At 36.7% G+C, this 27,748-nt stretch overlaps 1 protein-coding gene and 1 long non-coding RNA gene across 17 annotated transcripts in view; one reads left to right on the top strand and one right to left on the bottom strand.

Moving 5' to 3' along the window:
- PCNX4-DT (PCNX4 divergent transcript) overlaps nt 1-27,748 on the top strand; it is a 122,654-nt gene that overhangs the window by 9,359 nt on the left and 85,547 nt on the right. For 4 of the 5 annotated variants that reach the window (XR_943918.4, XR_007064199.1, XR_007064197.1 and 1 more), the window contains exon 2: nt 24,738-24,806. The exons of the other annotated variant lie outside the window; for it this stretch is intronic. This is a non-coding gene — a long non-coding RNA (PCNX4 divergent transcript). The remainder of the gene's footprint in view (nt 1-24,737; nt 24,807-27,748) is intronic. 5 annotated transcript variants of the gene reach the window in all.
- LRRC9 (leucine rich repeat containing 9) overlaps nt 15,571-27,748 on the bottom strand; it is a 147,105-nt gene continuing 134,927 nt past the window's right edge. For 10 of the 12 annotated variants that reach the window (NR_075071.3, NM_001355272.3, XM_024449566.2 and 7 more), the window contains 3 exons: nt 24,366-24,510; nt 20,209-20,377; nt 15,571-19,065 (listed from right to left, as the gene is read on the bottom strand). Coding sequence is in view for 10 of the 12 variants with exons in the window: in NM_001355272.3 (NP_001342201.1) it covers nt 19,026-19,065; nt 20,209-20,377; nt 24,366-24,510 (354 nt within the window). In the remaining 2 variants the exon portion in view is untranslated. Of the gene's footprint in view, nt 19,066-20,208; nt 20,378-23,271; nt 23,328-24,365; nt 24,511-27,748 lie in introns of those variants that run through there. The other 2 variants (XM_024449569.1, XR_002957549.2) reach the window with 2 other exon arrangements.

Raw genomic sequence — 27,748 nt, 5'->3', positions numbered from 1 at the left:
ATGAGAATGTAAAGTGGTGTAGCTGTTGTGGAAAACAATATGATGGCTCCTCAAAAAGTTAAACATAGAATTACCATATGATCCAGCAGTTCCACTTCTAAGATACCCAAAAGAATTAAAAGCAGGGACTCTAACAGATACTCGTATACCCATGTTCATAGCAGCATTATTCACAATAGCCAAGAGGTAGAAGTAAACCAAGTATTCATTAACAGGTGAATGGATATGCAAAATGTATGTACATACAATGGAATATTATTTAGCCTTAAGAAGGAAGGAAGTTCTGACACATGTTGCACCATGGATGATAAACCCTTTTTTTTTTTTGAGACAGGGACTTGCTCTGTTGCCCAGGCTGGAGTGCAGTGTTGGGATGCTCACTGCAGCCTCAACCTCCTGGGCTCAAGCAATCCTCCCACCTCAGCTTTCCAAAGTCCTGGTGTTATAGGCGTGAACCACTGTGCTCAGCCCTGGATGAACATTATTCTAAGTGAAATAAGCTATTCACAAAATTATTGTACAAATATTGTATGATTACACTTATATGATGTATGATGTATCTAGAGTAGTCAAATTCATAAAGACAGAAATTAAAATGGTGGTTTCCAGGGACTTGGGGGAGGAAGGATGGGAAGTTATTGTTTGATGGGTACAGAATTTCAGTTTTGCATGATAAAAAGAGGCCTGGAGATGGGTAATAGTGATGTTTGCATATCAGTGTGAATGTACTTAATGCCACTAAACTGTACACTTAAAATTAGTTAAGATGGTAAATTTTATGTGTATTTTACCACAATTTAAAAAATAAAGGTTAAAATGGTAGATATGTTTTGTATATTTTGCTATAATAAAAAAAATTTTAAAAAGTAGTTCAGAAGCTGTGGATGGATTTCTATATATGTATCAGAGGTTGAAAAGGGGGCAATTTATAGAGTAACAGTATAGTACAAAAAAAAAAACAAAATGCATAAGGCAGTTTCAAAAAGAATTCCAAAGATAAGTATCACAAAATTATATTCTATGTTAAACTGAAATCTGTGATTTGAAATGTTTTGCTCAAGTATTTCTCCTGCCTTTTTTTGTCTAAGCTCATGACTGTAGATAGTAGCAGAAAATGTAATTGTTAGACTGAAATGAACTTTGAATATTGTCACAATTTTAGAAGTGAAAGAGATGCTTGCTGTATTAGAGTTCTCTAGAGGGCCAGGACTAATAGGGTAGATGTATATCTAAAGCAGAGTTTATTAAGGAGTATTGACTCACAAGATCACAAGGTGGAGTCCCACAGTAGGCCATCTGCAAGCTGAGGAGCAAGGAAGCTAGTCCAAGTCCCAAAACCTCAAAAGTAGGGAAGCCAACAGTGCAGCCTTCAGTCTGTGGCCAAATGCCCTAGAGCCCCTGGCAAACCACTGGTGTAAGTCCAAGAGTCCAAAAGCTGAAGAACTTGGAGTCTGATGTTTGAGGGCAGGAAGCATCCAGCATGGGAGAGAGATAAAGGCAGGAAGACTCCACCAGTGTAGCCACGCTGGCAGCTTATTAGATGGTGGCTACCCAGATTGAGGGTGAGTCTGCCTCTCCCAGTCCACCGATTCAAACGTTAGTATCCTTTGGCAACACCCTCATGGACACACCCAAGAACAGTACTTTGCATCCTTCAATCCAATTAAGTTGACAGTATTAACCACCACACTTGCTTTAGAGGTAAGACACCACAGGTTCAGATAAATTGATTATATAGATACGTAGTGAAAGATCTGTCTCGAATGGATCCTTTGACTTTCATTACAGTATTATTTAGGCTTTGTATTAAGCAGGCTAGATTCTAATCTTTTAAAAAATAATGAAACATTTGATTATTTCTTCTCTATTAGGAAATTCCTATATTTTTTAATTTAAAAAATTTATTTCAATAGTTTTGGGGGTAAAGGTAGTTTTGTTACATGGATAAGTTCTTTAGTGGTAAAGGAAATTCTTAAACATGAATTTTCTGTGGTATAGTTTACAGCTATGTGTTCTACTCATGCTTTTGATGTTTTTTATATTCTCAAGGAATTGTTAACTTCACAGCTCTCTTCTCAAGCCATTGTTCCTTTGATTCTAAGAGAGGTTGCATTGTCTTAGCTTTTAAAAATAATCTACATTATGAATTGTTTTTCAAATATCTTTCCTATCCCACTCTTATCTTGAACTGTATTTCTTCAAATATTTGTAATTTTGGGACTCAAATGATACTGACCTTATTAACTCCTAGATCTTATGATTGCACAAAGTCAGAATACTTGGTTGCAAGTGACAGAAATTCAACTCCTCCAAAAAGGATTTATTGGTTCATGTAATTGGGAAGTGCAAGAGTGCATCTTATGGCAAGAGTGCATCTGGAGACTCAAATACTGCTGTGAAGACTCTCTCTGCAGCTCTTTGTTTGCATTGCTTTATTCTTTTAGAGTCTCCCCTAGTGGCAGACAAATGGCTGCCAGACAAACTCAAATCTCCCAGTTAAGCAATTGTAATGTAGGAAATAAACCAAATAACTCTCTACCAATGTCCATATCTCAATTTCAGGTTCTGTGTGCATAATCCTATGATTAGCAGCCCCAGCACTAATGCATAGAGGAGATATTTCCCAAAGGATTCTGAAGAAAGGGGGGTGGGAAAATTAGGCAGAAAAGAAGAACAATTCCCATAGTCTATTATACCAATGTTTCCCCACCTTATAGTGAAGCAACTTTTTAAAAAATTCTAGGTACATTACAAACCAATGTTTCTGTCCATTTAAAATCATTTGATGTACTGCATGTTTGTCTCTTTTTGGCTGTGCAGCATTTGAATCCCTGTCCTTTCTGGAATTTTCCACTGTGAGAGCTTTAGTGGGAAGGCAGGCCACATCCCCCATCACAGATGTTAAAAAATACATGTGCTTTTATTTAATTATTTTTTTGCTGTGAAGGTATTATTATTGTTATATTTTTTAATATACTGTAGTTCTGGTGCAGGTTTGTAACATAGGTATACATGTGCCATGGTGGTTTGCTGCATCCATCAACCCATCATCTACATTAGATATTTCTCCTAATGCTATCCCTCCACTTGCCCCCCACCCCACAACAGGCCCCAGTGTGTGATGTTTCCCTCCCTGTGTCCATGTGTTCTTATTTTTCAGCTCCTGCTTACGAGTGAGAAAATATGGTGTTTGGTTTTCTGTTCCTGTTTAAGTTTGCTGAGAATGATGGTTTCCAGTTTCATCTGTGTCTCTGCAAAGGACATGAACTCATCCTTTTTAAAGGCTGCATAGTATTCCATGGTGTATTTGTGCCACATTTTCTTTATCAAGTCTGTCAGTGATGGACATTTGGGTTGGTTCCAAGTCTTTGCTATTGTGAACAGTGCCGCAATATGTGCATATGTCTTTATAATAGAATTATTTATAATCCTTTGGGAATATACCCAGTAATGGGATTGCTGGGTCAAATGGTATTTCTGGTTCTAGATCCTTGAAGAATTGCCACACTGTCTTCCACAATGGTTGAACTAATTTACACTCCCACCAACAGTGTAAAAGCATTCTTATTTTTCCACATCCTCTCCAGCATCTGTTATTTCCTGACTTTTTAATGATCACCATTCTAACTGGCATGAGATGGTATCTCATTGTGGCTTTGATTTGCATTTCTCTAATGATCAGTGATGATGAACTTTTTTTCATATGTTTGTTGACTGCATAAATGTCTTCTTTTGAGAAGTGTCTGTTCATATCCTTCACCCACTTTCTGATGGGGTTGTTTTTTTTTTTGTAAATTTGTGTAAGTTCCTTGTAGATTCTGGATATTAGCCCTTTGTCCAATGGATAGATTACAAAAATTTTCTCCCATTCTGTAGGTTGCCTGTTCACGCTGATGATAGTTTCTCTTGCTGTGCAGAAACTCTTTAGTTTAATTAGATCCCAGTAGTCAATTTTGGCTTTTGCTGCCATTGCTTTTGGTTTTTTAGTCATGAAGTCTTTGCCCATGCCTATGCCCTGAATGGTATTGCCTAGGGTTTCTTCTAGGATTTTTATGGTTTTAGGTCCTACGTTTAAGTCTTTAATCCGTCTTGAGTTAATTTTTGTATAAGGTTTAAGGAAGGGGTCTACTTTTAGTTTCCTGCATATGGCTAGCCAGTTTTCCCAACACTATTTATTAAATAGGGAGTCCTTTTCCCCATTGCTTGTTTTTGTCCAGTTTGTCAAAGATCAGATGGTTGTAGATGTGTGAAGTTATTTCTGAGGACTCTGTTCTGTTCCATTGGTCTATATCTCCGTTTTGGTACCAGTACCATGCTGTTTTGGTTACTGTAGCCTTGTAGTATAGTTTGAAGTCAGATAGCGTGATGCCTCCAGCTTTCTTCTTTTTGCGTAGGATTGTCTTGGCTATACAGGCTCTTTTTTGGTTCCATATTAAGTTTAAAGTAGATTTTATAATTCTGTGAAGAAAGTCAATGGTAGCTTGATAGGGATAGCATTGAATCTACAAATTATTTTGGGCAGTATGGCCATTTTCACGGTATTGATTCTTCCTATCCATGAACATGGAATGTTTTTCCATTTGTTTGTGTCCTCTCTTATTTCCTTGAGCAGTGGTTTGTAGTTCTCTTTGAAGAGGTTCTTCATATCCCTTGTAAGTTGTATTCCTAGGTATTTTATTCTCTTTGTAGCAATTGTGAATGGGAATTCACTCATGATTTGGCTCCCTGTTTGTCTATTATTGGTGTATAGGAATGCTTGTGATTTTTGCACATTGATTTTGTATCCTGAGACTTTGCTGAAGTTGCTTATCAGCTTAAGGACATTTTGGGCTGTTGATTGGGTTTTCTAAATATACAATCATGTCATCTGCAACCAGAGACAATTTGACTTCCTCTCTTTCTATCTGAATACCCTTTATTTCTTTCTCTTGCCTGATTGTCCTGGCCAGAACTTCCAATACTATATTGAATAGGAGTGGTGAGAGATGGCATCCTTGTCTTGTGCTGGTTTTCAAAGGGAATGCTTCCAGCTCTTTCCCATTCAGTATGATATTGGCTGTGGGTTTGTTATAAATAGCTCTTATTATTTTGAGATACGTTCCATCAATACCTAGTTTATTGAGAGCTTTTAGCATGAAGGGGTGTTGAATTTTATCAAAGGATAAATGCACCAATAACAGACAAACAGCCAAATCATGAGTGAACTCCCATTCACAATTTCTTCAAAGAGAATAAAATACCTAGGAATCCAACTTACAAGGGATGTGAAGGACCTCTTCAAGGAGAACTACAAACCACTGCTCAGTGAAATACAAGAGGACACAAACAAATAGAAGAACATGCCATGCTCATGGATAGGAAGAATCAATATCGTGAAAATGGCCATACTGCCCAAGGTAATTTATAGATTCAATGCCATCCCCATCAAGCTACCAATTACTTTCTTCACAGAATTGGAAAAAACTACTTTAAAGTTCATATGGAACCAAAAAAGAGCTCGCATTGCCAAGACAGTCCTAAGCCAAAAGAACAAAGCTGGAGGCATCACACTACCTGACTTCAAACTATACTGCAAGGCTACAGTAACCAAAACAGCATGGTACTGGTACCAAAACAGAGATATAGACCAATGGAACAGAACAGAGCCCCTGGAAATAATATCACACATCTACAACCATCTGATCTTTGACAAACCTGACAAAAACAAGCAATGGGGAAAGGATTCCCTATTTAATAAATGGTGCTGGGAAAACTGACTAGCCATATGTAGAAAGCTGAAACTGGATCCCTTCCTTACACCTTATACAAAAATTAATTCAAGATGGATTAAAGACTTAAATGTTAGACCTAAAACCATAAAAACCCTAGAAGAAAACCTAGGCAATACCATTCAGGACATAGGCATGGGCAGGGACTTCATGTCTAAAACACCAAAAGCAATGGCAACAAAAGCCAAAATTGACAAATGGGATCTAATTAAACTGAAGAGCTTCTGCACAGCAAAAGAAACCACCATCAGAGTGAACAGGCAACCTACAGAATGGGAGAAAATTTGTACAAATCTGACAAAGGGCTAATATCCAGAATCTACAAATAACTTAAACTTACAAGAAAAAATCAAACAACTCCATCAAAAATTGGGTGAAGGATATGAACAGACACTTCTCAAAAGAAGACATTTATGCAGCCAACAGACACATGAAAAAATGCTCATCATCACTGGCCATCAGAGAAATGCAAATCAAAACCACAATGAGATGCCATCTCACACCAGTTAGAATGGTGATCATTAAAAAGTCAGGAAACAACAGGTGCCGGAGAGAATGTGGAGAAATAGGAACACTTTTACACTGTTGGTGGGACTGTAAACTAGTTCAACCATTGTGGAAGACAGTGTGGCGATTCCTCAAGGATCTAGAAGTAGAAATACCATTTGATCAAGCCATCCCATTACTAGGTATATACCCAAAGGATTATAAATCATGCTCCTATAAAGACACATGCACACGTGTGTTTATTGCAGCACAATTCACAATAGCAAAGACTTGGAACCAACCCAAATGTCCATCAATGATAGACTGGATTAAGAAAATGTGGCATATATATACCATGGAATACTATGCAGCCATAAAAAATGATGAGTTCATGTCCTTTGTAGGGACATGGATGAAGCTGGAAACCATCATTCTGAGCAAACTATTACAGGGACAGAAAACCAAACACCGCATGTTCTGACTCATAGGTGGGAAGAACAATGAGAACACTTGGACACAGGATGGGGAACATCACACACAGGGGCCTGTTGTGGGGTGGGAGAAGGGGGAGGATATAACATTAGGAGATATATCTAATGTAAATGACGAGTTAACGGGTGCAGCACACCAACATGGCAGATGTATACATATGTAACAAACATGCATGTTGTGCACATGTACCCTAGAAGTTAAAGTATAATAATAATAAATAAAAATAAAAAAATTTTAAAAAATCTCTCAGCATTTGCTTGTCTCTAAAGCATTTTATTTCTCCTTTGCTTATGAAGCTTAGTGTGGCTGAATCTGAAATTCTGGGTTGAAAATTCTTTTCTTTAAGGATGTTGAATATTGCCCCCCTAACCCCTTGTAGGGTTTCTGCAGACAGATCTGCTGTTAGTCTGATCGGCTTCCCTTTGTGGGCGACCTGACCTTTCTCTCTGGCTTCCCTTAACATTTTTTCTTTCATTTCAACCTTGGTGAATCTGAAGATTATGTGTCTTGGGGCTGCTTTTCTTTGTGGTGTTCTCTGTATTTCCTGAATTTGAATGTTGACCTGTCTTGCTAGGTTGGGGAAGTTCTCCTGGATAATATCCTGAAGGGTGTTTTCTAACTTGGTTCCATTCTCCCCATCACTTTCATGTACACCAGTCAAATGTAGGTTTAGTCTTTTCACATAGTCCCATATTTCTTGGAGGCTTTGTTCATTCCTTTTTATTCTTTTTCCTCTAATCTTGTCTTCATGCTTGATTTCATAAGTTGATCTTCAATCTCTGATATCTTTTCTCCCGCTTGAACAATTCAGCTATTGATACTTGTGTATGCTTCACAAAGTTCTTGTGCTGTGTTTTTCAGCTCCATCAGGTCATTTATGTTCTTCTCTAAACGGTTATTCTAGTTAGCAATTCCTCTAACCTTTTTTCAGGGTTTTTAGCTTCCCTGCATTGGGTTAGAATATGCTCCTTTAGCTCAGAGGAGTTTGTTATTACCCACCTTCTGAAGCCTACTTCTATCAATTCCTCAGACTCATTCTCTGTCCAGTTTTGTTCCCTTGCTGGCAAGGAGTTGTGATCCTTTAGAGGAAAAGTGTTCTGGTTTTGGGAATTTTCAGCCTTTTTGTGCTGGTTTTTCCTCATCTTTGTGAATTTATTTACCTTTGGTCTTTATCTACCTTTGGTCTTTGATGTTGGTTACCTTCAGAGGGAGTTTCTTTTTGTTGATGATGATGCTATTCCTGTTTGTTTGTTTTCCTTCTAACAGCCACACCGCTCTGCTGTAGGTCTGCTGGAGTTTGCTGGAGGTCCACTGCAGACCCTGTTTGCCTGGGTATCACCAGCGGAGGCTGCAGAACAGCAAAGATTGCTGCCTGTTCCTTCCTCTGGAGGCTTTATCCCAGAGGGGCACCCGCCAGATGCCAGCCAGAGCTCTCCTATATGGGGTGTCTGTCTACCCCTGCTGGGAAGTGTCTCCCAGTCAGGAAGCACAGGGGTCAGGGACCCACTTGAGGAGGCAGTCTGTCCCTTAGCAGAGCTTGAGCACTGTCCTGGGAGATCTGCTGCTCTCTTCAGAGCCAGCAGGCAGGAATGTTTAAGTCTGCTGAAGCTGCGCCCACCATTGCCCCTTCCCCCAGGTACTCTGTCCCAGGGAGATGGGAGTTTTATCTATAAGCCTCTGACTGGGGCTGCTGCCTTTCTTTCAGAGATGCCCTGCCCAGAGAGGAGGCAGTCTGGCTACAGTGGCTTTGCCGAGCTTTGGCAGTTTTGACTTTCTGACAGTTTTGTTTACACCGTGAGGGAAAAACCACCTACTCAGTCCTCAGTAATGTGTACACCACTCTCCCCACCAAGCTTGAGTGTCCCAGGTTGACTTCAGATTGCTGTGCTGGCAGCGAGAATTTCAAGCCAGTGGATCTTAACTTGCTGGGCTTCATCGGGGTGGAATCCACTGAGCTAGATCACTTGGCTCCCTGGCTTCAGCCCCGTTTTCAGGGAAGTGAACGGTTCTGTGTCGCTCTCATTCCAGGCACCACTGGGGTATGAAAAAATAACTCCTGCAGCTAGCTAGGTGTCTGCCCAAACGGCCTCCCAGTTTTGTGTTTGAAACCCAGGGCCCTGGTGGTGTAGGCACCCAAGGGAATCTGCTGGTCTGAAGGTTGCAAAGACTGTGAGAGAGGCCTGTATCTGGGCTGGAATGCAGTGTTCCTCAAGGCACGGTCCCTCAAGGCTTCCCTTGGCTAGGGGAGGGAGTTCCCTGACCCCTGCGCTTCCCTGGTGAGGCAGTGCCCCACCTGCTTCTGCTTGCCTTCCATGGGCTGCACACACTGTCTAACCAGTCCCAATGAGATGAGCCGGGTACCTCAGTTGGAAATGCAGTAATCACCCACCTTCTGTGTTGATCTTGCTGGGAGCTACAGACTGGAGCTGTTCCTATTTGGCCATCTTTCCAGCCACCCCCTGCTTTTCTTTAATAACTAAAGTTTGTGGCGGGCAACCTAAGTTTAGCTATCTTCTTCCTGGGCCTTTCAGTGTAGAACATGGGAAGCAAAGAAGCAGGAATATTTAGAATTCATTTTGATGGCAACAGAAACATCAAGGCCTTATTGCACTCATCTAGTGGCACCCATGCCTGTGGCAGCAGCATGGCACTGGCACCATAATTAAGGTGATCCTGTGACATGATACTGTCTGGGGTATTGACCACTATACTCCGCTTGTTCTCATTCTATGAGCCTGGTTTTTCAGCCTTTCTGTTCTGTGAACTATCCTATGAGCTATATCCAGAGTAATGTTCTTTTGCTTGCAACAAAAGCCACTGAGTGATACTCTCCGCTAATAATTTTTAGCCAAGATATTTTGAGGTACAATTATTTTCTCTAAGATGCTAATAATTGGTGAATTTAAGTATGATTTCTTTTTCATCTTAATGTATTTAACAGCTTCAAATTCTAGAGTTTATTCTTTCATGACCTCCTTTTTATACTGACATTAAACCACTTTCAGTGACTTTCTTTTATGACTCATTCAGAACCAATTGCTGCTTTCATTTTGCCATTATCCCATTTATGCTCTTCCATAAAATCTACTTTTGTTCTTTGCTTTTTCATTTCTCGTTAAGTTGTATCTTTCTGCTATAATTTTAGTACAAAAGTCCTTCACATCTCTTTTCTGGGAACATTCCTGTATCAGTTAGGATTAGGTTGTACTTCTTGTAACAGAGAAACCATAATAACAGTGGTTTAACCGATATAAACTTACTTCTTGCCGTATAAGTTAATTATTCGAGGGTCAGAATGGCAGTTCTATGGGCTAGTGGGACAGTCCCATTTATTATGCTGTCATCTTTAAGGTCTTTTTCCTCCTGGTCCAGCCAGACTTCCTCCATCATAATCTTTTCCCAAGCTACAGTATGAATGGAAGGGAAATTTTTCTTCCTTTCCTTTTTAAGAAGACTTCCAGTAAGTTTCCATACCACACTACCACATATAAGTCATTTGCCAAAACAAAGGGCCACATTTGACTGCAAGAGAAGCACTATTCCTAGCTAATAATCAGGGTTCTTTTACTAAGGGAGAATGACAGAACAGGCCCGGGAGGCAATTGGCTGTCTCCTCCACAATTTCTACTTCTTTTGACTATCTCTAAGTAATTTACCATCTTTCTAGATAAAACAGTTTATTTTGTGTTTTGGGACTAATTTGTAAATTTTTAGTTCAACTAATAAAAATTTAGTTCAACTAGTAAAAATTTGGAACAAAAATGATCCTAATATAATACATATTTTATTTAATAATTATACAGTTTTTATCGTATTGTTACACTCATTCTAATTGCCTGAATAAAGTGGTTTTCTTACAAAAATTCCCACTTAGTTATTTTCAAGATATGATGGCTTCAAAATGAGTTTAAATTCTTACTTATAAAAGGAATGTATATTTTTAAAGTAAACTAATTTATATTACTTTTAGATTGTGATATCAAAATAAAATATGGAAGATTCTGAAGACTTTCCAGAATTTGTGAAGAATGTGTGAAATAAAATGGTGGTTGGGCTCACTCCCTTATACTTTTGCTTCTACACCAGTAAAATAACCCTTGAATCAGGATCATTGTCAATAATTTATATTTCAAAATTTAAATTCTTGTTTTTAAAGAAATAATTTTGAACATGCAGAAAAGTTTTAAATATGGTGATTTCCTCACCCAGCTTTTCCTAATGTTAACATTTTATATAGCAATGATTGAAACTTAGCAATTAACAGTTATACTGTTAACTAATCTATGGACTTTATTTGAATTTCAACAGTTTTCCCACTAATGCCCTTTTTTTGGTTCAAGATCCAATCCAAGATCTTGTATATTATACTTAGTTATCATGTTTCTTAGATTCCTCCAATATGACTTCCTCAGTCCTTATCATGCAATGCCCTTGATCTTTTTAGACTCCTTTTGGCCAGACTTATTGGCCGATTATATTGTGGAATGTCCCTTAGTTTGGGTTTGTCTGATATTTTCTCATGATCAGATCATTCTCATTCTCATGATCATGTGGTATTTTTGGCAGGAATACTACAGAATGATTTTGTGCCCTTATCAGTGCATCATATCAGGATATTGATATATCTTATTTTTTGGTGATATTAAATTTGATCTCTTGGTTAAGGTGTTTATCAGTTTTTTCCACTGCACAGTTAATATTTTTTTCTATTTGTAATTAAAAAGTATCTTGTAGGGAAATTCTTAGAGACCATGCAAATACCCTGTTTATACTGTCATCTACTAATTTTAGTATCCATAGATGATTCTTAACCACAGCAATTATTACTTTGGTGTTTTCCATAGTCATCAATATTCTTTACATGTTTATTGAATACAGAAGAAAATTATGTTCATTAAAAACATCTATAAATGTGAACTTGAGGAAATTCTTTTGATTAGTAGGTTAAAGATACAGCCAAGAAGTTCTGTGAAAGTTACAGGAAAAAAAATGTGTTTAAATGTTAAATTATTTGTGGCATTTTTAACGTCAATTGAGAAGAGCACAGTTATATGATCCAGCTATCTCTATTTATTTGTGGGGTATGATTCTTAATGGGACCAAAGACCTCCGGTGTTCTAATCCCACTTTTCTCTTTGTTCAGAATAAATCTTCTTGGCCCATAGCCAGGTATAGGGAGTGCTATCTAAGCAACGATAAACTAGAACTCTCTCAATCCCAGTTGTTTTGTTTTGCTTTGCTTTTTTATGAAACTAAAAATATAGCTCCCAGAATTCAAGTCTGTTTCCATGTTGCACGTCACAACTCTAACCTGACATTAACATCTTGCTGTAAACGAGGTGTCAGGTGTCTAGGCTTAAACCAGAAGACTAATGGATTATAAAAGAAAACAATTAGATATTTCAGTTTTACATTGCTAGTTTTTCCATTTTAATTTAAAATATAATTCCCCAGTATTATACATTTGTGTCACATAGGCGTTGTATGTACTAGGGTATCAGCAGGAAACAAGTGGCAGAGTCAAATGGGGCCATTGAGGAGTTTAGTGAAGGGACCACTTCAGAAGTGTGGATAGAATTAAGGAAACAGACCAGGATTAGTGAAGCATTTTATTTTTTATTTTTTGAGAGAGAGTCTCATTCTGTCACCTGGCTAATTTTTGTATTTTTAGTAGAGATGGGGTTTCATGTTTGCCAGGCCGTTCTCAAACGCCTGGTCTCAAGTGATCTGCCTTCCTTGGCCTCCTAAAGTGCTGGGATTACAGGTGTGAGCCACCGTGCCCTGGCAGGTGAAGCATCTGAACTTGCAATGCCTGTAGGCCTGAAGGTGTAAGGGAAAGAGAGTTCACCAGAACCCAGATACTTTAGGAAAGCCCAATAGAAGCTGTAGTTCTTGTAGAATGCAGCTGCTACTAAAGCCCAAATCTCACTCTTTTACTCTTTGATCTACTTCTAGTGTCTTGATTGGCTACAGCCAACTGCCAGCTAGAGGGACAAATGACTCTAAGTGATGTTGTCCTTAAAGGTGAGTCTTTAGAGTCACAGAGCAGGAGGAGAAAGGTAGAGAATAGATCTGGAAGGGCAAGTGGAGGCTATCTAGCAAATTGTATTTCAGAAAAAGTGCACTTGATTATATTTCTGGCTCTAGTTTTTCTTATGTCTGGCCTCCTTCATTGAGGTTATGTGACATGTTCCTGAAGACTTTTTCATTCTTTATTTTATCTTTTTTTTGGTGATGGAATCTTTCTCTGTCTCGCCCAGGCTGGAGTGCAGTGGCTCGATCTCGGCTCACTGCAACCTCCACCTCCTGAGTTCAAGCTATTCTCCTGCCCCAGCCTCCTGAGTAGCTGGGATGACAGGTGCCTGCCCACCACCACACCTGGCTAATTTTTGTATTTTTAGTAGAGATGGGGTTTTGCCATGTTGGCCAGGCTAGTCTTGAACTCCTCAAGTGATCTGCCCGCCTTGGCCTCCTGAAGTGCTGGGATTACAGGCCTGAGCCATGGCGCCCGGCCCATAATTGAACTGTTAAAGGATGACAATTATGTGACTGACATTCTCATAGTTATACTTCTTGTGAGTTAACAACGGCCCAATGTGTTAGCATTAACACATGTTTGGGCTTTAGTTTTATTGTATTGTTTCCATTTATAGACTTTAGCATGTTTCCATAAATATAATCATATCTTCATTCAAAGCATAATTTAACAATATAGTAATGGCTCCATTAATATTGGAATCTTCAACTAACTAGCAAAGTTATTTCAGCATCATAATAATTGAAGGGACACACAAAAAAAGTACATATAAGGGAATTTGGCCTTAAGCAACTGCCAAGGTTATAGCAGAAGTTCAAAACACATTCTAAACACTTTTCCTCAGCTGCATTTCTCTAAAATGGTAAATCATGCACACTATGACCCTGAAGCACTATAAATCATTGAAAATAAAATTTTGTTTAATGTATTCTGTTTGTTAAAGCAGGAAAATACATCAATACATTTAAGAACAATTTCCCCAAAATGTATAAAATAAGCCTGATTGATTACAGCTAATTAAAAAATTAAACAATTTTATCTATTTGTACATTTGCACCTTTGCCACTAAACCTAAATTAGCCTTTTTTTTCCTAAATGACAGGAAGTTTGATATACTGTACTGATTGCTATAGACTAGAATATTAAGTTGTTACAACTATATGAGATCTACATGTATTTCTACTTCCATGTATATATGTGTATGTTTGTAAAATTCACATATTTATACTATGCTGTTTAAAAACTCCAATTGTGGCAGTTTAAATACTGCTTTGTTGCTAATCACGGCTTAATACCTAAAACAGAACAGAGTCCTTCACAAGGTAATCAGGGAAATATGCCAATTTTGACTTCATTGCCATCCTGTTGAATGACTGTATTCATTCTCTTTAGATTTAAAGCTCCTCATTCTACTGTTCCTCAACACTCTTTATAGAATTCCAGCTTGCTTTTCACCTATCTTTTAACAGTTTAACATAGATGGCTGGATCAAGTCCATTGTTCCAATTGTATGAACCTTAAAAAGCTCTGCAGTATTTTACTCTTTCCATTGTATCTGGTTTCCCTGAGTGCTCTGCTCACTGCATTTTACTCGTACTCTGATTTCTAAACCCATTTATGGCTGATTCTTTCTGAAGACACTTGTTTGTCTGGGAGCTCAAATTGACTTACCCCCATTCTATTTCCTTAACTAAAAATGCACCATTAAGGTTGATTGAACTCTTTTAAAGCACTTCATATAAAATCAAAGGCCTTAGGAAAGTAGGCTACCAGTGTTTATAAATACCTGTTTTAAACCAAATTGATAGGGGAATAAGAAATAATTAGAAACTTTAAAATGTTTTATATATATATATATATATATTTTACTGATTAGTCTTTTTTGGTTGTTCTTTGAGAGACACACTTGTAAAACATTCTGAGAGGGAAGGGAGAGGAAGAGCTATGCTATAATTAAAGATGGAACAAATAGTAGAGCCAAACCACTAAAATTATTGAAAACATTTTCTAGAAAAAATAATGTTCTACAATAAGCAAGAAGAAAAACGTGCAGCTCTTGATTAAAAGCTATAGCTTTTAAATCACTCCAACCCCACTGGAAACAAACAAAAATCATATCACCATATCTTTTTTCTATTTAAACTATAGTCATTGTTATTTTTGTGGTTTACAAAAATAGTAAGATTATCACTAATTCTTTTCCTATTTATAATGTTTAAAATTAACTGCTGGTATAAAATATTTTTAAACATTTAGAAGTTAATTACAATTATAAAATTAAAAACCAAATGAAAATATAGAATGCTATTTGTTAAAAATTCTTCGCATCCCTTTCTATTTTAATGTTTGATCAAAATGTAACTATTTTGAAAAAACAAACTATGTTATCTCAATGGATTTTTATTTAGAGCATATAGAAATACTGTTATTTTTAATGATATTAGAAAAAATCTGTTCTAATTTAAAATTTAGCATTTCAGAATCTTTGGAATCTTATATGGAAAATGACAATGTTGATAAACTGACTTTTTGATTTACCTAAAAGAGCATATAGTTAAGGTAGTGCTTAATAAAATATAAAAGATAAATAATTTGACTTCAGCTAACTAATACCTTCAAAGCTACTTCTAAGTTCCTTTGAATGTGCTATTCTATTTTTATATTACAACATTGTATGTCTTTGCTATTAAATCATTCATTTTAGCTTAATTTTAAGGAAAAATCATTACCAAAACAAAAATCTTAAGATAAAAATGCGTAAATTAAGTCTGAGAAATGTCTTTTGAGTAGTTTACAAAACAATTTTATTCACAATGGAAAGAAAAACAGTAACAGTAGAATGGTATAATTTACATATTTGTAAAGTAAAAACTTGCAGAAATAATATTACTAATAAAATAGCTGTGGTATTTCTTACTGACCTAGTTCTAAAAGGCAACTGAGAATTTAAATTGCAGTTCAGCGTAGGTTTTTCTTCAAAAATACTTCAATAATGGAGAAGGGAGGAAAATGTAGAAAAATGAACACATAGTTAGCACTTGCAGGTGGTCCAGAAGCTCTAAGTTTTATAGTAAGGCATCAGAAAAACCAGCCGGTTTCTAGCCCATAACCAAAATGATTTGGTTAGCTTCACTGAATAACCAAAGGAATTTGGCCGTAAGTGCTTGCTTCTACTAATAGAATATTATAATAATCTTACCTCCCTTTATGTAAGTAATATTTAATTGAAGCCAAGAGCCTAGAGCATGACTAAGAGTGAGATCTAATGTTTTAAAACATTAAACACTTTTCATAATGTAAGATAGCTTATGAAGAGTGAAATGGCATGTTACTTAAATATAAGGGTTATTTGTAAACTAGTCAGGAGTGCCTGCAAACACACATACATAGTGCACACTAGATATTCTAGGCAAAAATATATTCACAATCAGTTAATTTTGTGTCAATAGTCAGAAAAATCTAAGACTAGAAAAATTAGAAGTAAATGGCCAGGCATGGTGGCTCATGCCTATAATCCCAGCACGTTGCGGGAGCCGAGGCAGGAGGATTACATGAAGCCAGGAGTTTGAGACCAGCCTGGGCAATATAGTGAGACTCCATCTCTACAAAAATTTTTTTAAAAATGGAAGTAAATAGTAAAGTTTGTATTGGACAATTAATCGCAGTTAATTTTATATATAGAAATCAGACTAATTTCACACTGCCTGTATTCGGTTCAGCTTTGGAGGCTTCTAATCTATAAAGTGCCTTAATTTCTAGCTTACCAGGTTGTTTGTGGAATTGTCTTTAATGAAAACAAGTTATATAATCATACATTTGCTTGCAAAATAAATCAAGACATTTGCTGGGAGCAAAGACATAATAACTTTACTGGATAAATTATACATTTTATCTAAGTGAAATACCTTGATGAATAAATAGTTTACTCTCTTTTACAGTTTTTTTTTTTTTTTTTTTGAGAGGGAGTCTCACTCTGTCACCCAGGCTGGAGTGCAGTGGTGCCATCTCAGCTCACTGCAACCTCTGCCTCCCTGGTTCAAGCGATTCTCCTGCCTTAGCCTCCTGAGTAGCTGAGATTACAGGTGTACGCCACCATTCCCAGTTAATTTTTGTATTTTTAGTAGGGATGGGGCTTTGCCTTGTTGGCCAGGCTGGTCTTGAACTCCTGACCTCAGGTGATCTGCCCACCTTGGCCGCCTAAAGTTCTGGGATTACAGGCGTGAACCACTGCACCTGGCGTGGTGGTGTAATTCCAGCTACTCAGAAATTTAGATGAAAAAAAAATTTTTTTTTGAGATGGAGTCTTGCTCAATTTGTCTGCCTCAGCCTCCCTAGTAGCTGGGACTACAGGAGCACACCACCACGCCTGGCTAATTTTTGTATTTTTAGTAGAGATGGGGTTTCACCATATTGGCCAGGCTGGTCTCGAACTTCTGACCTTGTGATCTGCCTGCCTTGGCCTCCCAAAGTGCTGGGATTACAGATGTGAGCCACTGCGCCCGGCTCAGATGACATTTAATTAACAATTTTTAAGAATTATAAATAGCTCAAAATTTAACAATGTGTACATAAAAATCACATGAAGATCTCAAATGTATTAAAAGTCCATAGGAAAAATGGCTAAAAGAAAATATGCCAAAATGCTAAGTGAATACAGTGTAAGTTATGTTTTTTCTGCTTTATATATTTCTATTCTGAACATTTTTCTCCAGTGAAACCTATTACATTTATTTTCCCACTTTGTTATTTTAAGACACTTTTTATTATAAAAGTAACATATATTCAGCATTTAATTTATACATAATCATAAAAGAAAAAAAGAAGATGATGCCAATTTAGTAATAAATAGTGAAGAGTAGACTGTCACAACACTATAATGAAAGCAGTTGTCAAAACTAAAGGGCAACAAAGACATCTTCTGGACATCTTAAGAACTGCATAGTTGTTTTTAAACAAAAGATCCTATTTCCACCTAAATGTAATAGTTGTTTAAAAACCACACATTACAAAGAGCAAAATCAATCTGTAATTAGGTTTGAACTTTTAAATATTACATGATTAAAGTAAAGACATACAGCATTTAAAAAGAAAAATACAAAATTGTTGCATAGACATTGGAATTATATCATTTCCAAAGTACCTTTAAAACTATTTCCAGACAGATTATAAAGTCTACATATTTTAGTTAAAATAATTTATTTTCGTGTAAGGAAAGTATAAAATATTATGAAACTATGTGTACTGTTGAGCCAATAACTTTAAAATTTTGAATAGAATACTTCATGAATGATGGAGCTCATTTATATCAAAATATGATTGGCAATTTGGTTATCAATTTTAGTAACTGTAACAAGCAAATTCATAACCACATTTGATTAATCTGTGATACGTCCTAGTACTATGCAATGTAATAGTTTAGAAAAGTTCAGTGAAGTATAATTATTGAAGGTCATATTTTTAAATGTGTCCACTCAGTTTGAATACATGTTCTCTTCAGCCTGAAACTACTTGTAAACTTGTATCACTGTAGGTGTAATTAAATGATTTGTATTTGAAATCGGACGCTTTTTTTATTCTTAGAGCATGAAGGACTGGTTGCACCCACGGTTAGCCACATTTAGAAACTACTATTGATGCCCACAATTTGCATCTCTAAACAATTTTGAGGGCCGATCTGGTTTGAGGGTATTTTTTAAAAAAATACAGTCCTAAAAACCAATCTGTAGTTCAACTAGCAAAACTCATCTTGCTTTAGTAATAGTTGTGTTTGGTAAGAAATGTGCTGTAGTTTTGTGTAATCTCAAATGAATAGATACTCTACAAATGAAAGTATGCCTATTTCCTAAAGTTATCTTTTCTCAATATCTTCCTATGACTTTTCATAATGACATTTCATGACTAAATGTTTCTAATACTAGAACTAAGCATTCAGTTCTCTGGACTTTGTTTCATGTCACTTTTGTCTTTTCAAATTGTAGTCTGATGTAATAGTTGATGATTTTTATGATATAGAAATTCAAACAAATAACTAAAGATAACCATAAAGAAAGTTTAAGAGAGGTGATATTAAATCAAGTTCATGAAGGGTAATAGATTATCTTCATATGGAACTGAAGTGCTTCAGTAACTTAAGTAACATGATTATCTTTTTTTTTTTTTTTTAACTGACCACTGTCCGCTAGTTTTTGTACAACTACTAAACAGGTGAGTTTCTTGGTGTATGCTCATTTCTCTTTAGGCAGTTACATTCGATTTGATCTTGGAAAGTTGCTCCCAAAAATTCTGTAAGAAATAAGATTTAATTAGTCAAATAGTGGTGACTTAATTTTGTAATGGATCAGCTAACTTAAGGTAATTCTGCAATAAATAATTTCTGTATTTTAGATGTGCGCAATTTCAAAAAGACAAAATTATCCCATTGGTGGCTCACACCTGTAATCCGAGCACTTTGGGAGGCTGAGGCAGGTGGATCACCTGAGGTCAGGAGTTCAAGACCAGCCTGGCCAACATGGTGAAACCCTGCCTTTACTAAAAATAAAAAAATTGGCCGGGCATGGTGGCGCATGCCCGTAGTAATCCCAGCTACTCGAGAGGCTGAGGCAGGAGAATTGCTTGAACCCAAGAGGTGGAGGTTGCAGTGAGCCAAGATTGTGCCACTGTACTCTAACCTGGGCAACAAGAGTGAAACTCTGTCTCAAAAAAAAAAAAAATACTGTGGACTCAGTGGGACATGGCTGATTAAAGCAGGAGGAGTCAGTGCAGCAAGAGCCAAGCCTAAGCTAGATCTGCTGCTGAGGTAGGTCATTTTAACAGATGAGCAGGAGCAGGGATGCCAGGAAGATGGGGGACAGGTAATACTTGGGAATCTAAGAAGTCAAGTGTTGAGCAGAAGAGTGTATTCTTAATGAGAACTAGCAATGTTCTTAGGCTTTGAGCTAGGCTCTAGGGCTAGATTCAGACTGGAGAAGGAGGCAAGTAGGAATTTTAAAGAAAATTCGGAAGAATTTACAAAATTCTTAGCCTTCACGGTTTCAGAAAGTTGAATTTATCTGCTGTTTACAGTATAAGTGAACTGCTTTGCAAATTCAGTGAGTAGAGTGAGTTGGTAGAGGATACAATTAAAGTAGTTCCCATGTAGCTATTTCATTGTTCCCTCACTAGTGAGCACTAGTACTCTGAATTATTTGACCTTGATAGCCATTTCTCAGCCTTTTTGAATTACTATGTAAATACACTGGACTTTGGGAAAGGTTTGGTGAACGTGGGAATTAAGAAGTCTTATGCTATCTGACAGTTTTTTCTAGTTCCCAGAGTAAATATATAATAGTACATAACAATATTTCCTGTTATACATGACTAGCAAATATGGAGAGTACTTTTTTAATGATGAGAAATGATATTAAAACACAGAGAAAATAGCTTTACCTTCTCTTATCTTGGTTGCTCTGGTATATTTGTGCAGTAGGAGATGCAATATTCTGATGTGATAAAAGAGATGGAGAGATACTTATCCCTCTGAGTTGCCGAAAAGCTATTTCTGCATGGATGCTCCGAGGATTATTTGTCAGAATCCCAGCATTCTTGTTTTTTTTGTCTGAAATTAGAAATTAGAAATTTGAAAAATTAAAATTATGAAACAATGAGAAACATTAATTAACATAAGCATTAAGCAATATAGTTTGGTTGTCCTTCAGCGGAATGTATGCAATACATGTTTCATAAAGTGAATTTAAAATTTCAAATAAAAATATAGAATTATAATGTATTTTTAGCACTTGATGTGGCTTAAATTTCTGTGAGCTAGTGAATCAGTTTGATTTTTCCTAGATAATGTTTTAAACATATAAATATCCAAACCTGCATGCTGTAATAAATGTACAGATAAAGTGATTATACTTTTAAAAGGTGGGGCAGCACAGTCAAAAAATAGGAAAGAGATTGTAGGACTTTTTCAGCGCATAACAAATCTTGAAGAAACTAACAGGCATACCTTGAAATATTGTGGGTGTGGTCCCAGACCATTGCAATAAAGTGAGTCACACACATTTTTTGGTTTCCCAGGACATATAAAAGTTATGTTTACAACTATAGTGTAGTCTATTAAGTGTGCAGTAGCATTATGTTTAAAAAAACAATGTACATACCTTAATTTAAAAATACTTTATTGCTAAAAAATGCTAATGATCATGTGAATGTTCAGCGAGTTGTAATCTTTTTGCTGTTGGAGGGTCTTGTCTCAGTGTTGTTGGCTGCTGACCAGTCAGGATGGTGGCTGCTGAAGGCCGGGGTGGCTGTGGCAATTTCTTAACATAAGACAACAATGGAGTTTGCTGCATAGATCAACTCTTCCTTTCATGAAAGATTTCTGTGTACAACATGATGTTTGATAGCACTTTCCCCACAGTAGTTCTTTCAAAATTGGAGTCAGTCCTCTCAAACTCTGCCACTGCTCTATCAACTAAGTTTGTAATATTCTAAATCCTTTGTTGTCATTTCAACAGTGTTCACAGCATTTCACCAGGAGTAAATTTCATCTCAAGAAACCACTTTCTTTGCTCCTCCATAAGAAGCAACTCCTCATCCATTCAAGTTTGATCATGAGATTGCAGCAATTCAGTCACATCTTCAGGCTCCACTTCTAGTTCTCTTGCTGTTTCCACACATCTGCAGTTACTTCCTTCACTGAAGTCCTGAACCCCTCAAAGTCATCCAAACTCCCATTAGGGTTGCTATTTTGACCTCCTCTGATGAATTACAAATGTTTTTAATGGCGTCTAGAATGGTGAATCCTTTCCAGAAGGTCTTCAATTTACTTTGCCCATATCCCTCAGAGGAATCACTAATTTTATTTTATTTTATTTTTTGAGATGGAGTCTTGCTCTGTCACCCAGGCTGGAGAGCAGTGGCGCGATCTCGGTTCACTGCAAGCTCCGCCTCCCAGGTTCATGCCATTCTCTTGACTCAGCCTCCCGAGTAGCTGGGACTACAGGCGCCCGCCACCATGCCCAGCTAATTTTTTTGTATTTTTAGTAGAGACGGGGTTTCACCGTGTTAGCCAGGATGGTCTCGATCTCCTGACCTCGTGATCTGCCCACCTCAGCCTCCCAAAGTGCTGGGATTACAAGCGTGAGCCATCGCGCCCGGTTAGGAATCACTGTCTATGGTAGTTAGAGCCTTACAAAATATATTTCTTAAATCATAATACTTGAAGTTACTCCTTGATCCATCAGCCACAGCATGGATGTTGTGTTAGCAGGCATGAAAACAACATTCATCTCCTTGTACTTCTCCATCAGAGTTATTAGGTGACTAGGTGCATTGTCAGTGAGCAGTAGTCTTTGGAAAGCAATCTGTTTCTCAGCACTGGGTCTCAACAGTCAGCTAAAATACTTAGTAAACTATGCTGTAAACAGATGTGCTGTTATCCAAGCTTTGTACATTGATAGAGCATAGACTGATAGAGCATAGACAAAGTAGATTTAGCATAATTCTTAAGAGCCCTAGGAGTTTTACAATGGTTGAACAATGGTTTCTTTAAGTTGAGCAATGTATTCAACTTAAAGTCACCAGCTGCACTAGCCCCTAACAAGAGAGTCAGACTGTCCTTTGAAGCTTTGAAGCCAGTCATTGACTTCTCCTCTCTAGCTATGAAGGTCCTAGATGGCATCTTCTTCTGATATAAGGCTGTTGCATCTACATTGAAAATCTCTTTTTTAGTGTAGCGACTTTCATCAATGATCCTAGCTAGATCTTCTGGATAACTTGCAGCAGCTTCTACATCAGCACTTGCTGCTTCACCTTACACTTTTATGTTGCCTGATATAATAGTTCGTGATTCTTTCCTTAAACCTCATAAAGCAGTCTTTGCTAGCTTCAAACTTCTCTTCTGCAGCTTTCTCACCACTTTCAGCCTTCATAGACTTGAAGACAGTTAGGGTCTCTGGATTAGGCTTTGGCTTAAGGGAATGTTGTGGCTGGTTGATATCCTATCCGGACCACTTTATCCATATCAGCAATAAGATTGTTTCAATTTCTTATCCATGTGTTCCTTGGAGTCGCATTTTTAATTTCCTTCAAGAATTTTTCCTTTGCATTCACAACTTGGCTATCTATTTGATACAAGAGGCCTACCTTTAGCCTATCTTGGCTTTCAGCATGGCTTCCTCACTAAGCTTAATCATTTCTAGCTTTTGATTTAAAGTGAGAGATCTGAGATTCTTCCTTCCTTAGAAGTCATTGTAGGGTTATTAATTGACTTAAAAAGATTACTGATCACAGATCACCATAACAAATATAATAATAATGAAAAAGTTTGAAATAGAGAATTACCAAAATGTGATAAAGACACAAAGTGAGCACATGTTGTTGGAAACATGGCACCAATAGACTTGCTTGATGCAGGGTTGTCACAAACCTACAATTTGTAAAAAACTCAATATCTGTGAAATGCAATAAAGTGAAATGCAATAAAAAAAGGTATGCTTTTACCTGAGAAGGAAGTTAGTATCTGAGAAGGAAGTTATGAAGATGAATCCAGGGTTAAACTAATAAAAAAATATAAAAAGATAATGATATTCCTGAAGATGACTTTGTTCTGTTAAGGAGGTAATAACAATTTGGTATGCCCAATTTTACTGACAGTTGTAGACAAAAGCATGACAATCTTCATTATTATTAAAACCTGGAAGTCATAATGCCATATAAGTATGAAAAATGAGAAAATATAACATCTTAATGGAGTAAATTATGCTGGTTTGTTTTTCAGTGGGTTTCTTTAAAAAACTTTAATCACATGGAACAGTCTACTTTTTTTTATAGGAGGCTCTTAGATCATTTTATAATTATTGTGATGTTCAGTTTTATTGTCTAAGAGTGGTCTGAGGACAAATGGGAAGTCAGAAGGACTGGAAGAGGTGAGCCCTCAGAGAAGGAGTACTTACCCCCAGTTTTGCCAAAATGATAACCAGAAAAGATGTGGAATTAGGGAACAGGCTTATTCTAAACTTGAACTAAAATTTATATAGCAGAATAAACCACTTCCATGCTTGTTCTTTTAATACACTCCCTCTTTTAAAACTCTACCTCTTGAAGCCCTTCTCTAGTATTTGCTTCATGAATATTTTCTTATGATTTCAAGGGGAAAGTGAGATATCTCTGCAGAATATCCTTTGTACCCCGGGATTCTGTTATGCTTTTACATCTCTGATTTCCACTTTTAGCAGGATGCACTAATGAACTGGTTTTAGTAGTTGTTTGCTCTGACATCCATGAAATGAAATAAAAGCTTTGAAAAGATATGTCAGGAAATAATTGTTCAAGTATCACAAAGTTCACATTGCAAGTGAGCAAATGTTTAGTCACAACATGCTAGTAGCTGAGTACAAAAAAAGCTATAATAAAACTAAAAATAATAAAACTATAATCTCTGAAATCAAAATGGCCATAGGAAACTTGAGCAAACATGCAATTTTAGGAAATGTAAGTTAAAAACAAGGAATTTTAAGTACTATTAGAAATTAAAGTGATATTTTTATTTCAAATTAAGTGATTCTTTTACATTCTATCTGAAATTGTCAAAATACCTTCAACTTCAGGAGTTAAAGTGACGTCAGATCCCAAGTAATGGCTGAATCCACTAGGCAGAAGTACATTTGTTATCTCTATGGGAGGAGTTTTCACTTGGCCAAATGATCTGCCATCCATAGGAGAGTGGGTAACAGGAATAAGCTACATAATAAAATAAAACAGTTAATAACATCTCATCTCCAAAACTCAGATCAATAGGCTTAATCCTTATAACAAGTCTGAGTAGACAATCAACATTCTTTTTAGTCAGGAGCTACCTGCTTGCCTAAACTCAGAATTGGTACTAGGTAAAACCTGTAAAATCAGCAGAGCTTTTTGGGGAGTTAACCTCCCTCAGAACCTTGTGTTCTTTTTTTTTTTTTTTTCAGACTGCATTGTACCATCACTAGAATCTAGTGCTTAATGGCAACTCGCCCTTTCCAAAGGGTCTCAACAAGGTAAGTATGGAAATAAGAAAATGAGAATTAAAACTTCCCCATTGTAATGCTTTTTCTTTTTTTGTGTGTGAATAGAATTTCTGGGAGGTAAAAGTTATTTCTCAAAATCTTTGTATTCTTCACATTACCTAATCAGATGACTTGCAGTTAATTAGTTTTCAGAACAAACAGTAAATAAAATGGGAGTTAAGAAAAGCATCTTATAATAATCAATTTTAGTGAATGTAGTAAAACTCTCTAAATAGTATTTACATTTTACACCTGCTGAGGATTAAGGGGCTTTTGTAAGAATTTCAGGAATCAGCAAATAGAGGAGAAAAATATTTTAGGAAGGGGACTCTTGCTTCCCCTAGAAATTTATGCCTTCTCTGCTGTTGTTAAGACTGACCTTGTTTATATGTGTGAATTCTGAACATATGATTCAGCTTATTTAGAGATGGAGGCCTTTTCTGTTTATCTAAAATTACCTATTTAACCTCATACTTCAGTAAGTGTTACCAAGAATGCTGCTTTATAATGAATGCTAAGGTATTGGTCCTTTTACTAAAGCTGCTCAGTCCTAAATTCCCTAACGAATTCCTTTATGGGAGTTTCTTCCCATCACTAATCTGGAATGCTGTCAAATTTCCTTCTGAAACTAAACCCCCAAAATGTTTTGGTTTAAAAGAACTTTAGATTTCATTTATTTCCTCCTTATTTGCTGTTAAAAAGAAAGGCCAGTAGCAACTAAGACAAAGACAAACACATTTGACTGATAAACTTCAGAAGTTTTCTGTACTTGAGTCTCCTGAACAGCTAGTTAAAAGAAATAATGGCTTGATTTTGTTCTAGTCCTGAAAATAATTGGTGTTGAATCTAAAAGAAAATTTCTCTAAAATAAAGATTTGAAATACCCCCTTTATTTTACTAACCATATATAGATAAAAAATAATATTTAATAAAGTATTTACATACGGAATAACTAAGTTGAAAGACAGTTAAATTCCTATGTATAGCACTGATTTAAATGGCAAGAATATGTATCTAGAATAACTCAAGATGACATTATAGTACTGTAAGGGGAAAATCTGAGTTCACTATATGATAAATAGAAAAGAATAGCCAACAAACAAACCCTTTAGTAAAGTATTCATTATTGGTTGAATTTTGAGTTATGCCAAATTAAATGCTTAATTAAACCAATGTTTAAAGAATTTTATATGAAAATTGGGATCTTCAAAGTTCTAAGTGGTTACTTTATGTCTTTTCAATTTAGCCTGCATTACCTTAAAACAGAATTTATGAATTTTAATATGGTAATTTTCATAGGTCTTTCACTGGAGCTCTCACATATGTGGTATGGCAGGAAGAATAATGCCCCTCCCCTAAAGATATCTACATCCTAATTCCCAAAACCTGTGAATACCTTGCCTTACATGGCAAAGTACTTTGCAGGTGTGATTAAGGATTTTGAGATGGTGAAATTATCCTGGATTTTCGAGGTAGAAGGAGGCAGAAGGTCAGAGAGAAGGGGAAGTGATCATGGAAGCAGAGGTCTAAGTGATGGCATTACTGGATGAGAGCCATGAGCCAAAGAATGCGGATGGCCTCTAGAAGCTGGTAATGGCAAAGAATAAATCCTTTCCTAGAGCTTCCAGAAAAAATGCAGCCCTGCCAATACTTTTTTTTTTTTTTTCCAAGACAGGGTCTTGCTTTGTCACCCAGGCTGGAGTGCATTGGCACGATCTTGGCTCACGGCAGCCACCACCTCCCAGGCTCAAGAGATTCTCCCACCTTAGCCTCCTGAGTAGCTGAGACTACAGGCATGTGCCATCATGCCTGGCTAGTTTTTTTTGTTTTTTTTTTTTTTTAAATAGAGACAAGGTTTTGCCATGTTCCCCAGGCTGCACTCCAACTCGTGGGCTCAAGTGATCCACCTGCCTCAGCTTCCCAGAGTGCTGGGATTATAGGCATAAGCCGCCAAGCCTGGCCCCTGCCAGTATTTTTGATTTAGTCCTTTAATACCGGTTTTCAGACTCCTGACCTTCAAAACTGTAAGACAATATGTGTTATTTTAAGCCACTAAATTTGTGGTAATTTGTTATAGCAGCAATATGAAACTAATACAGGTGGCATACATTTTTCAAGAAGTGACTTGCTTCGGGAATATAAAAAAGGGAAAAGGAAAGAAATCATCTTAAGTCACTGAACTAAATTTTATTTGACCATTTGCTCTCTTTTGAAAGACTGGGGCCTGTGACAAAGATTTGAGTAGATGACATTAGATGATGCACTTGTTTTGTTACATCATATAGATCAATGGCTAAATTTCTTTTTGGAAACCATAGTTTTTAGAAAAAAATTTGTAGATATAGTCCATGAATGAATCAATTTCCTTTGCCTAAACTAAATAATCTTTTTTAAACATTGTAAAACTTTTAAAATCACAAGTCTTTGTAGCTACTTTGACCTATAATAGAAGCCCTTTGGTTAATCAAAAAATGTCAAGATTAATTTTAAAAGAGTTAATAAAAAAGTAAGGGGGCCGGGTGCAATGGCTCAAGCCTGTAATCCCAGCACTTTGGGAGGCCAAGGCGGGTGGATTGCCTAAGGTTAGGAGTTCACGACTAGCTTGGCCAACATGGCAAAACCTCATCTACTAAAAATACAAAAATTAGCCTGGTATGATGGCACATGCCTGTAGTCCCAGCTACTCGGGATGCTGAGGCAGGAGAATCAACTGAACCCAGGAGGCAGAGGTTACAGTGAGCCAAGATTATACCACTGCATTCCAGCCTGGGCAGCAGAGCAAGACTTCGTCTAAAAAAAAAAAAAGTAAGGGAATCATTGTCTAATTGATATTCATCTTAAAAAAATAAAATATTTAAAAGTACATGCATTCATCAATCTTTTGATGAAGGACCAAAGCTGCTCTGTAGGCAAGGGTCCCTTGATTGGTATTA

This window comes from Homo sapiens, chromosome 14, assembly GCF_000001405.40.
Source record: "Homo sapiens chromosome 14, GRCh38.p14 Primary Assembly".
NCBI lineage: Eukaryota > Metazoa > Chordata > Mammalia > Primates > Hominidae > Homo > Homo sapiens.
This window is presented reverse-complemented; position numbering and strand designations above follow the sequence as displayed.